The sequence below is a fragment of the Homo sapiens genome, chromosome 1, assembly GCF_000001405.40.
Source record: "Homo sapiens chromosome 1, GRCh38.p14 Primary Assembly".
NCBI lineage: Eukaryota > Metazoa > Chordata > Mammalia > Primates > Hominidae > Homo > Homo sapiens.
This window is the reverse complement of record NC_000001.11, coordinates 12,181,509-12,193,694: the sequence shown is the minus strand read 5'-3', so window position 1 is coordinate 12,193,694 and position 12,186 is coordinate 12,181,509. Positions and strand designations below refer to the sequence as shown.

Genomic DNA, 12,186 nt, shown 5'->3' with positions numbered 1-12,186 from the left:
CTGTCTTCTTAGCCTAATGGGCTCATCAGAAACAGCAGCAAGGAGACCATCTGCATATTCAGGTGAATTGCTGACCCCACCTCTCCCCTATCCAGGGGTTTTGTTTGGTTTTGTTTTGTTTTTGAGATAGGACCTCACTCATTGCCCAGGCTGGAGTGCAGTGGCACGATCAGAGCTCAATGCAGCCTCAAATTCCTGGGCTCATGTGATCCTCCCACCTCAGCCTCCTGAGTAGCTGGGACAATAGGCACCATCCCACCCAAATAATTTTTTAATTTTTTTATAGAGATGGAGTCTCGCTGTGTTACCCAGACTGACCTCAAACTCTTAGCCTCAAGCAATCCTCCAGCCTCCTTGGCCTCCCAAAGCACTGGGATTACAGGCTTGAGCCACTGCATCCAGCCCACGCACTTAGGGATTTTGAATGATAGCACCAGGTGTGGGGAGAAAGCAGTCTCACTGCCACCTGTATCCCAGGACAGGGCACAGGGTCCAGCCCCCCGTGGGCTCTCAGTAAAACCATGGGAGAGGAAGAAAGAGAGACAGAAAGACAGGCAGACAGAAGGAGTGAATGAATGAGACTTCTTGCGACTTACCAACTGGAAGAGCGAAGTCGCCAGTGCTCCCTTCAGCTGGGGGGCTGGGGCCCATTGGGAGCAGGAAGGAGGTGCTTGGAGCAGTGCTGGGTTCTGGAGTTGGCTGCGTGTGTTGGGATCGTGTGGACACTGGCTGGGGTAAGTGTACTGCCCCTGGGGCCATACTCCGGGTGGGGGACGTGGACGTGCAGACTGCATCCATGCTTGCATTCCCAGGGATGGCCACCACGTTACAGCTGGAGGAGGAGGAGGCTTGGTCAGGAGGCAGCAGGGGACAGAGTGGCTGGGGTGGCTGGGCTCATTCACGGGCCCCAGCAGGCAGGATAGGAGAGTGACGATGTGTGCCCTCTCTGAGGACCACCCCCTCCTAGCCCTCCCCCACCTCCCCATGCACCCACCCAGTCCTGCCTTCCAGGGCAAGGTCCTGCCCACCATGCCATTTATCCTGGGAGCCACCCTCAGATAAAGCAGTCTGGACAATGGTGGTTGGTGAGCTGCTCTGTGTCCTGGACCCACAGTCACCCAGGGACAGCCCCTCCCTGCTCCTCCAGAACCAAAGGACTCAGCTACTCACATCTGGTGGGGCCTGCAAATATCCGTGGATGAAGTCGTGTTGGAGAACGTCCCCGGGGCACAGGGCTTGCACACCACGTCTGATGTTTCAGTTCCTTCAGGGAACAATCCGAACTTGTCAACCACTCAGACACTCTGCGGGACAGCTGGGCCTTGGCACTAGAGCCCTAGGAGAGGTCTGAGGGGCCCAAGGAGCTCTGTCTGCACCTCCACCCCTTACACACACACACACACACACACACACACACAGATGCCTGTACACACATGCACACACACAGATTCCTGTACACACATGCACGGGATTGGGCTGTAGAGTTATGTGAGTTCATCTTGCAGCATCACATAACTTTCCTAGCTTAGGGCTTGGTCTGATCCATCTCTGGGTCTCCTGGTTCCAGTACATAAGAGGTGCCTAATCGGGAGTGCTGGCAGGAAGAATGAACGGTGGACAGGTGGACAGACGGATGGGTAGCAGGCACCTGGCCACCACTAACAGTGCTCCCTGCTGGACTAATTAATGGGTTGATGCCCGTGACACTGCAAGGATGTCTACAAAGGAGAGGCCCATGGGCGTCCCCAAGGACCTGAGCCCCACCCCGTACCTGGTCTGGCCACGCCGAAGCCCGGGCGGCACTTGCGCAGCGGCGCGCACAGCCGGCACCCCTCCTGCTTGCTCAGCGCGCAGTACCAGCCGGGCCTGCAGGTGCAGATGCGGTTCTGTTCCCGAGTGCAGGCTTGAGTTTCCACCTGGTCTAGAGCAGCGAGAGGGCGGCAAACGGTCACGCCTGCCTCCGCCACACCCACGCTGCCCTCCCAGACAGCCCAGCACTCTCAGACAGCGGATCTCCAGGAGGCTGGCGGACCGCCTCAGCATGGGGCACACACAACACCGGCCAGAGTCCAGGGGCAGGACCGGCAGTCCTGCTACTCTCCGCAGTCCCGCTACTCTCCGCAGTCCCGCTACTCTCCGCAGTCCTGCTCGTCCCCCGCAGTCGCGCTCGTCCCCCGCAGTCCCGCTCCTCCCCGAAGTCCCGCTCCTCCCCACAGTCCCGCTCCTCCCTGCAGTCCTGCTCCTCCCCGCAGTGCCGCTCCTCCCCGAAGTCCCGCTCTTCCCCGCAGTCCCGCTCTTCCCAGCAGTTTCGCTCCTCCCCGCAGTCCTGCTCCTCGCAGCACGAGCATGCGCACCACTCTCCCACGCACCACCTCCTCAACCCTCACGTGGGCACAGTTCTCCCACCGCCTGCCCCGTGGGGCTGTGAAGAGGCTTTGGTGAGACAGAGGAGGAAAATGCCAGTGGTAGGGGTAAACAGCTGCACCTGTGCCACTTCCAACAACCAGCCTGGGGTAACTCCAGACAGCTGGAAGCCAAAGAGGCTGGAGTTGCCGGGGGAAGTTGGAGGCAGGGGTGTAAGGGCCCCCTTTTTCTCTGAACCTACTCACCAGAGCTACAGCGGGAGCCACAGCTCAAGCACTCGGGAACCCAGTTCCAGAGCTGGGTGTATGTGCTGTCCTCACAGGAGTCACACACGGTGTCCGAGGTCTTGGTACAGAAGACTTTTGCATGTTGGCCTGAGGAAACAAGGGCCAGAGGTCTCAGCTGGGCGAGCCTTCTGCCAGGACCCTGGGCTCATCCACTGTCCCCACAAAGTCCAGAGTTCTAAAGCCCAGCTGGGAAGGCTATTCTGTGGAGTTCCAATTCCTCAGAATCATCTCCCATCTAGTATTGTACCAGCTATCACGTCATTTCTGAACCCCTTCTGCTCAAAAATAGATTCCTCTCTGCTCTTTCCAGATGCTTGAACCTCCACCACTGGAGCCCTATTATCAGTCAATCACACTTTAGTAAGAACTAGCTTGCCAGTTTCTTCCTTCTTGATAGATGGCTAATATTCTCCAGCTAGGGGCATGAATGATAGGGGGAACAGGTAGTAAGAATGTAGTCCCTGGTATCCTATCAAGGACAAGGGCATGGGCCTGGAAAGCAGGCATTCCAGGGACAGAGAACACCAACGGAAACCTTAAAAAAAAGTTGACTCAGTAGCTGCTTTTTTTTTTTTTTTTTTTTTTGAGACAGAATCTCACTCTGTGGCCCAGGCTAGAGTGCAGTGGCACAATCTCGGCTCACTGCAACCTCTGCCTCTCAGGCTCAAGCAATTCTCCTGCCTCAGCCTCCCAAGTAGCTGGGATTACAGGTGCCTGCCATTATGCCCAGCTATTTTTTTGTATTCTTAGTAGAGACGGGTTCCACCATGTTGGCCAGGCTGGTCTCAAACTCCTGGCCTCCGGTGGTCCGCCCACCTCAGCCTCTCTAGTAACTTCTTAAAGAGACCCTTCCAGTTAATAAAAGAAAGAAGAGAGTCACTTTCCCTAGGATGTCTTAAAATGGCTAGGGACGGTGACAGGTACTCATATGCCCACCTACATCTCAAGGTAACGGCTCAAAGCCCTCCATTGGCTCCCAGACAGAATAAAATCTAAACTCCTTACCATGGTCCCTGCTCACTCCTTCCTCCTCCTCCCCTACCGTACTCGCCTTCGCTCATCCTGGGCCACACATGCTGGCCCTGCTGTTCCTCCAACTCACCAAACAGGCTCCGACTTCAAGGCCTTCGCACATGCTGTTGCTTCCTCCTGGCACACTGTTCCCTGTATACATGCATGACCTGCTCCCTCACCTCCTGCAGGGCTCTGCCCAAATGTCACCTCCTCAGAGAGACCTTCCCAGACCACCCTGTGTAAAACAGTATGTCCCGTTCTGTCTCCCCCGCCTTACCTGACCTTGTCTTTCTACAGCACTTACAGATAGACAGGACCACACATCTCCTAATGTATCTGTCTGCATCCACCGTTAAAATGCAGACTCCACGAGGGCAAGGGTTTTGTCTGCCCTGCTCTCTGTGTATTCCCAGCACTTAGAACACACAGCAGATACCTTATAATCATGACATGAATGAATACAGACACAAATGAATAGATGGAGGGCACCAGGAGTCAGGCTACCTAGCTCCACCAACTGTGGCTGGGCCTCAGGTCTACCATCTGTGAAATGGGTAAGCATTCACAGAGTCAGTCAAATATGCACTGAGCACCTACATGGCATTGCGCCACGTGCTGGGGATTCAGCAGAAAACAAGCCACAATCTCTGCCCTAGAGGAGCACACAGTGGAGGCAACAGGAAGCAGGACCGGGCTATAATCCCACAGCAAGGAAAGAGCTTCCATGGGAACATCAGAGGCCAGTGAGAGCTCAAAGGAGGCAGCACTTGTCTTTCAAGCTGAGTGCTGCCTCCTCCAGGCAGCCCTCCCTGACTCCCCCAGGAGCTAATTTAGGCTCCTCCTCCCCCTCCTCCACCGGCTGGGCAGTATGGGGCAGGCAGCCTTCCTGGAAGAGGGGACATCTTCAGCTGAGGTCTAAAGGGCAAGTTGGAGTTAATCAGGGAAAGGGAGTTGGGAAGTGTGCCAGGAAGAGGGAACAGCATGTTCACAGGCCCAGAAGCAGCAGGGAGCATGGGCCAGTGCATAGAACTAGGAGTTCAGTAAGAATCAAGGGCTATGCTCTTGCGCCCCAGCCCCTGTACACACACGCTCCTCCAGGGCATGGGCCCCGAGTGCCCCCGTGGCTGCCCTCACCCGGCGAGCATTTGCTGCAGCACATCTGAGCTGTCTGGTCATAGTATTCTCTGAGCCGGCATGTGCTCCCGGGCTCCGGGGCGTAGGGTGTAAATGCCACCTGGAAGGAAGAAGGGAAGACTGCCATCAACAGGGCCGCCCCTGGGTTCTGCCATGCCTGATGCCCAGGTCCCCGCCCTGCAAATGTTTGGCCCTCCCCCTGCCAGTCTGCACTGATGATGGCTGGGGAGGTTTCTCCCCCTGGAGCAGGGTACAGGAAGGAGAGCTCGTGCCTTCTTTTACCTCCCCTGCCTCCCCACCTCAGTGTACCCTAGTCATGTCTGCAGGCAGAAGCACTGACTCTGCTGGCCTTCTCCAGTGCTGGGTGACCCCTAACACTGCATGGGACAGATATCCAGAAGACAGTGGCCTTGGTCACAGAGAACGGGGGTTCTCAGCACAAAGCTGCCCTCTGCTGAGGAAGGAAGATACCTCTCCTTCCCTCCTGCACCTGAAACATCCCTTTGTCTTTCAAGATGAGTGCTGCCACCTCTGGGAAGCCCTCCCTGACTACCCAAGGCTAATTCAAGCTCCTCCTCCTCCTCCTCTCGGCTCTCTCTAAACGTGGGTTATGACCCCTCTAACAGTCATCTCATTGTTCTGGAATGGTTACTTGCTTGTCCTTCCACCCCCTGTGGGTATGTATGCACACACATGTGTACACACACACTCATGTGATGCAGACAGCAGAGGTGGCAGCCTTGTCATCTCTAGACCCTCAATCTCTCACATGGGACCCACCGTAGAGCCGGCACTCATCAGCTGAATGTTGGTTATGACCATGACAATCGTTGCCATTTTTGAAGCACTGCCTAGGTACCAGGCACTGTTCTAAGCGTTTCTGCTGCTCGAATTGGTGGGTGCTGTTGCACCCCACTCAGACCCCTGCTGCCAGCAGGGCACCGCTCCCCCAGCTGCTGTGGGTGTTGGCTGATAATGAATGCTCCACAGCCTCAAGGTGGGACCCACCCTGGTACAATTCATGGTCCAGAGCCACCCCCGTGGTGTTGGGCTGAAGCTGGTGAACAACGTCCCTGCTAAGCCCCCTCCCCTGACCTGCCCTGCCTGCTTCTCCTGGGAGCCCTCCCTAGCAAATCACTTTCACAAAGATCCCTGCCTCAGGCTCTGCTTCTGGAAGACCCTACCTGAGACAGGTGTGTGGTCTCAGCAAGACTTCCCAACCACCCAATGAAGATGGAGACGGTTTCCCTACTGCAGCCATTTTATAGAACAGGAAACCGAGGCCTGAGAGGGCAGGTCACCTGCCCAAGGTCCCAGACCTGGTAAGTGACAGAGAAGGGTTTGGACCTGGGTCCTGTCTGACTTCACAGCTCACAGTCTCAAAGACTGTGCTGGATGCCTCCGGGAAGAGATGAACAATGTGATGAATGAAAAGAGAGAGAGGGCCAGGTGTGGTGGCTCACACCTGTAATCCCAGCACTTTGGGAGGCCGAAGCAGGTGGATCACTTGAGGTCAAGAGTTCGAGACCAGCCTGGCCAACAAGGCAAAACCCTGTCTCTACTAAAAATACAAAATTATCCCGGCATAGTGGCGTGTGCCTGTAATCCCAGCTACTCTGGAGGCTGAGGCAGGAGAATCCCCTGAACCTGGGAGGAGGAGGTTGCAGTGAGCTGAGATCATGCCACTGCACTTCCAGCCTAATTGACAGAGCAAAACTCCATCTCGAAAAAAAAAAAAAAAGAGGGGAGAAAAGAGAAAAGCAAAGGCACCCAGAGAAGCTACAGCCCTGGACAGAGGAGCAGACGCAGAGCCCTCCTCTCTCGGGTCTCTGAGTGACCCTCCAGGAGTGCAGAGCTGCAGCACTGTCACCATTGTGCCTTCCCAGGACCCCCGGGAGCAAGCCCCTGAGTCCTGCCCTCTCTCCTGAAAGACTGGGGTTGGCAGTCCGGGCTTTCAGGGACAAGCATTAATTAGCCACCTCTACCAGGCTGAGAGCAAGCTCAGAATGGAGACATTCACATGTAGGCAAACATGGGTGTGAACACATCTGTACAAGCAAAGAGGGTGTACACACACACCCCAAGTCCTTCAGGGGCCCCCACAGATGCGTCACCTGGAAATGAACAAAGGGCAGTTCTAGGAGGTCAGAGCCAGGGCTGGCGCACTCCCCACTGTACTGCCAGCTGCAGTCATGTGGCCAGTACAAGATCGAGATCCATAACCTTTAGTGAACGAGTCATGGGGCCTCTCCATAGATAAGGATACAGGGAGTCAGAAAGAACTGGTTTCAAATCCTCACTCCACCACTTAGCGGCTGTGTGGCCTTAGGCAAGTGCCTTAACCTCTCTGGACTCCAGTACCTAACATATAGGAGCAGGGGAGATACTAAAAATATTTAACAAACCAGCACAACGTGGCCATGGACCTATCCTGGACTTCAGCTGTCAGCAAGCCAGTCAGAGCAGACACCAGTCACGACACCCAGCACCGCTGGGCCAGTGCAGACCTGGCCAAATTTCCACCAGCCAACGTAGCAGGTGGGTTCAGTGTGCCTCCTCCTCCCCTTCCTCACAGCACTGCCTGGGAGTCAGGACTGCCCAGAGTTTGGGCCTGCTGAGCGTTTGGCTGCACCTATAGCGAGTGACAAGCAGGGCTAGAAACCCAGCTGTCTCCCACCTCAGCCTGGCAGGCAGCACCACCCTGCCCTGGCTGCACCCCTCGGTGCCAACAGCTGGAATCCCTCAGCGGGAACGACCCAGAGGAGCTGGGGCTTCCTGCCATGGAGCAATCTGCCACTCTTCTGACCCCCAGGCCTTTGCACCCCAGCTGATTTCTATGCCTGGAATGGCCTGGTGCTTCCTGTAACAAATTCCACGTGTCCCTTAAGAGCCCTGCTCAGGCAGTACCCTCCCTCCTGAAGGCTCCCTGCCCGCACCCCACCCTGAAGGAGTCACTCAGGCCCAGAGTCCCCACCTTCCTCCCTCATGGCTCTCCTCATGGCCTCCCTGGGCCCCTCGCTAGATGGGAAGCCCCCCTGAGGCTGCAGGCTGGGGGTTACCCTTTGCTGTTGCCCCACAGCCTAGCAGGGCGTAGGTGCTCAGCAGCTGCTAGTCTCAACCACGGGCTGGGTTACAATGTCCTTTCCTGTAGGGATCTAACTCCAGCGCCAGGGCCGCAAAGCTCAAACACAGATGCACTTTCCACCCTGGCCTGCCCCGGAGGCCCACCCCAGGCCCATCAGCTATGGTGAATTCTGGGCACGGGCAGTGGGAACCATGCTGCATAACAGGGTCTGAAGAAGTAACCCCCGTCTGGAGCCTCAGTTTGCCTGGACACGGTGCTGCCACACACACTCGGTCCCAGTACCCCTCCCCTCCCCGGTTTGCTGCTGGAGCAGACTCCCAGGCACCCTAGACAAAAGGAGAAGCCTTCTCAGGGGTTCACACAGTGTGGGGGGAGCTCACTGCCTGTGTCCAAAGCACCCAGGGGTGCCTGTCATGAAGCCAACACCCACTCCCCAAACAAGTGCAGAATCTCAGGGGTGGGCCCAGGAAGCTGTACCATTAAAAAAAGAGAAAGAAAAAGAAAAAGGAAATCTCCCCAGTGATTCTCACGCTCCTTTGCAGAACACACTCTGATCATCCGGCCTCCTGGATTGAGCAAGGTGACCTGGGGGAGGGGTGGCGGAGGGGGCTCATGGCCGAGACCCGGCATCCAAAGGCTGTGGGAGCCCCTAACCCAGAGAAATGGCAGCTTCTGCAGCTCCCTCTGCACAAGCCATTCCATCGAATACTAACTGCGGCAGAGGGTCTTCCTGGCCCTCGGCAAACCCCCAAACTGCCTTCCCTGAAGGCTGCTGCTGGGCGCTTCCCCAAGGGCAGGGGCTGTGCCTATCCCCCTCCGACCGAACGGCCTCCCAGACACAGCTGCCTCTTCCCTCAGATCGCATCCCTGAGGCAGGCAGGGGCTGCACCTCTTCCCTGGCAGCCCCCCACCCCGCACAGTGGCCAGCACAGGTCTCGTGGGAATCCTGCATCCCGCGGGCTTCATCCCCACGAGTGCCCTTGGGGTAACCAGGGGAGCCCCTCACTCCTCCAGGGCCTGAGAACCACAGGGCCAGGGCGGCTCCAGGCGGCAGCAAGAAATCCCACCCTGGCTGGGGAAGGGTTTCCCATCAGGGCTCAAAGGGCCTGATGGGAAAGAGCCCTGCCGTGGCCAAGTTTGGGCTCTCAAGAGCCGCAATGGACGAGGGCTCCTGGCCACTAACGGCAGGCAGCTGGACTCCCATGGCCCCCAGGCCGGCTGAGTGGTGGCCTCCCACCTCCTCCCCTCCAGGTTCCTCTCTTGTCTGAGGCTTTGCTGTGAGTGACCGTCCCTGGACTTCCTCCCTGGCTCTGTGTGGCTCCAGCCCCCCCGGTAGCCGGCAGAGGGGGTAGGACTTCCTCCCTGGCTCTGTGAGCCTCCAGCCCCCAGTAGCTGGCAGAGGGGGTCGGCTCCCTTGAGCAATCTCAGGCCTGTTTATTCTCTTGGACAGAAAAAAAAAAAAAAATCCACAGCCTTGTCATGGCTAAACAATGAGGAACAGAAAGCCCCTTGGCAAAGCAGAACAAAAGGTCACTCCCTCCACAGCAGCAGTCCCCAGGAGCAGGGGGCTGGGCCCAAACCACAGCCCTGGGAGCCGGCCTCTGGTCAGTACAGGGGCCCCCCAGGAGGTCCCCAAAACATGGCAAGCATTCTCTAGGAAATGCAGGGCTACAGAAGCTTCCAGTTCCTGTGCCTTGGATTGGGGAGGCTCCAATTCACACCCCACTCACCCCACAGGGGATCTTTGACATGTTAAAATGAGGAAATAAGTTGGATAGTACTTGATTCAGTCAGCGTGTTCAGCAAACTACAATCTTCCAAAATATGGGGGCCTCAAGTGAAAAATTGAAAATCACTGTTGAGGGTTAACTGACCATTTATTTAACAGGCAGGGAATCTGAGACCCAGTGGTGAGGGAATCGGAGAGGATGGATAGATATGTAGGTAGGTAGGTAGGTAGATAGATAGATAGATAGATAGATAGGTAGATAGAATAGATAGATAGCTAGATAGATAGATAGGTAGGTAGATAGAATAGATAGCTAGCTAGCTAGCTAGCTAGATAGATAGATAGATAGATAGATAGATAGGTAGATAGAATAGATAGATAGATAGATAGATAGATAGATAGATAGATAGATAGATAGATAGATAAAATAGATAAAATAGCTAGATAGATAAAACAGACAGACAAACAGATAGATAGATAGATAAAATAGAAAGATAGCTAGATAGATGATAGATTAGATAAATAGATGATAGAGATAATAGAAAGTAGATACAAGATAAATAGATGGATGATAGAAAATATCAATAGATAGCTATACATATATACATAGAGAGAGAGAGAGAGAGAGAGAGAGAATAGATAAAAGGAAAGAAAAAAGAAAACTGCACCTAAATCTATATTCCAATTGGTGAGGCAGGTCTGATTGTGCCCATTTCACAGATGAGATAACAGAGATGGAAAAAGGCAAAGCCACCTCCCCTCGTCTCCCAGAGACTTTGGGCCATGCCAGGGCCAGGATGGCGGCAAGCGGATAGAGGACTATGGATAAGAAGCTCATCAGGGCCCACCCACAGTCTCTGAGCCGCCTCCCATCTGGGTCCACAGCTCCCATTTCCCCTCCTCCAGATTGGGCTCCCTCCTCTAAGACAGGTAGCACCTGCAGTTAGCGGTAGCTCATCGGTACCGAGCACCTGCTACCTCCCAGGGGCAACTGTGCGTGTTAGACCCACTGTCTGGTCTTCTCACTGACATTCGCAGGTGCTCAGGGAGACAAAGCAGTGTGCCCAAGGCTATCCCAGAAGAGCTGCAATCCTTGCCACCCCCAATCCTGCCTCCCTTCTCTTGGGGCCCAGAGAGCTTCCCTTCCCCCTCCACACAGACCCAGGACTCCAAGGGCCCCAAAGCTGAATGGCCCAACCTCAGCAGCTCCTCCCACCATGCAGCCTCCATCCCAGATGGGAGCTGTCTCTGTCACCCAGGGGTTAGACCCCCACCCTGTTGCTCCTCCAGGTCTTGGCTTTGGCCCTCTGGGGAGGAAGGAAAACAATGGGATATTTGCTAAGCAACTACTATGTGCCAGGCCAGATGGCAGGCACTGTATAAAATCCTAGTTCCACCCTAAAAAGCTGGTGTGAATGGCCCCATTTCACAGCTCAGGGAGATCAAGTCACTTGTCCGTGGTCCATGGAGAAAGTCAGGGGCAAAGGTGAAAGCAGTGATTCATTCATTCATTCATTCAACAGACGTGCTGAGCACCCAGTGTTGTAGGTGCTGGGTAAACAGTAGCATTGAACAAATCAAATCCCTGCCCCCGGGAAGTTGTCATCTTAGCTGGGGAGACACATGCACGTTCAATAGAGAATTCAAGGTGGTGGTAAGAGCTAAGGAAAAGGGTGACACAAGGTGCGGGGCCGGGGAGACAGGGAGATGCCCTTGGCACACTCAGTGCTTGGTCAGGAGGTCAGGGCAGTGGGCCCAGAGCGGGTGGGTGAGGGTGAGAACGAAAGCAGCAGTAGAGCATCTACTAGAAGCCTGCTTCATGCCAGTCATCACGAAGAGCTGTCCCAGCATCATAGCCTCTCTGAATCCTCCCCTGGTCCCCCTGAGGCCAGTCCTATTGTTATTCCCAAGTTACAGATGAAGAAACTAGCCTCAAAGAGGCCTCCTCACCTCCAGTCCTGTGTTTCCTCCCTGGCCAGGAAGACTGGGTCTCAACCCCAAGGCCCGCCCCTACCCCAAAGATCCTCTGTGTCCTCACTCAAGTGTCTCCTCTGCTGTGGGCAGTAACCAGGTTCTCTGTGCCTCAGTTTCTCTGCCTGTAAAATGAGAGTGTGGGCCTGGTTGATGCTCTAAGCAAAAGGACCAGCCCTGGGTTCTTAAGGATGGGTGTCGAAGGCTCAGTCCCTCACCAGACCTCAGGGGTGCTGGGTGGTGTGTGGCCCATCCACATGAGAGGTGGAGAAACAGCACGAGCTGGGAGGTGGGGGCTGGGATGTGGGGCAGAGTTGGGCTGGTCCTGGGCCTCTGGAGAGAGCAGAGGGTGGATTAGCAGGGGCTTCCATGCTCAGCTTCTGCCCCCATCCCCTTCCCCCCAGGGAGGGCAGCTCGAGCAGGCGACTTCTGAGAGGAAAGGGCCAGAAATGTCCCCTTTCCCAGGTGTGCTGGACACCGGCCTTGTAGAAGGGGCGCTGACTTAGGTTAGAGGGTCTATGTGCATATGGAGAGGTGCGTGGCATGCTCTGTGCACCGCCAGGAGGTCAGGGTAGTGGGTCCGGGGGATTTGGGGGTGTCAT

At 55.6% G+C, this 12,186-nt stretch overlaps 1 protein-coding gene and 1 non-coding gene across 7 annotated transcripts in view, besides 2 other annotated features; both read right to left on the bottom strand.

The window, feature by feature from the left end:
• TNFRSF1B (TNF receptor superfamily member 1B) overlaps positions 1-12,186 on the bottom strand; it is a 42,230-nt gene that overhangs the window by 15,526 nt on the left and 14,518 nt on the right. For 4 of the 6 annotated variants that reach the window (XM_011542060.3, XM_047429422.1, XM_011542063.3 and 1 more), the window contains exons 2-6: positions 4,800-4,899; positions 2,610-2,738; positions 1,772-1,921; positions 1,171-1,264; positions 597-832 (exon numbers count right to left, since the gene is read on the bottom strand). In XM_011542060.3, the coding sequence (XP_011540362.1) occupies positions 597-832; positions 1,171-1,264; positions 1,772-1,921; positions 2,610-2,738; positions 4,800-4,899 (709 nt within the window). Of the gene's footprint in view, positions 1-596; positions 833-1,170; positions 1,265-1,771; positions 1,922-2,609; positions 2,739-4,799; positions 4,900-5,579; positions 6,257-7,204; positions 9,168-12,186 lie in introns of those variants that run through there. The other 2 variants (XM_047429424.1, XM_047429423.1) reach the window with 2 other exon arrangements.
• Positions 1,426-1,977: an enhancer, noted in NCBI's record as "H3K4me1 hESC enhancer chr1:12251775-12252326 (GRCh37/hg19 assembly coordinates)". NCBI's record gives its function as "activates a minimal SCP1, AML or CMV promoter by ChIP-STARR-seq in naive H9 embryonic stem cells {active_cell/tissue: H9 hESC(naive)}" and the evidence as "EXISTENCE:reporter gene assay evidence [ECO:0000049][PMID:30033119]".
• On the bottom strand, positions 1,922-1,982 carry MIR4632 (microRNA 4632). The gene has a single exon (NR_039775.2). It is a non-coding gene; the product is annotated as a microRNA 4632 (primary transcript).
• Positions 4,324-4,861: an enhancer, noted in NCBI's record as "H3K4me1 hESC enhancer chr1:12248891-12249428 (GRCh37/hg19 assembly coordinates)". NCBI's record gives its function as "activates a minimal SCP1, AML or CMV promoter by ChIP-STARR-seq in primed H9 embryonic stem cells {active_cell/tissue: H9 hESC(primed)}" and the evidence as "EXISTENCE:reporter gene assay evidence [ECO:0000049][PMID:30033119]".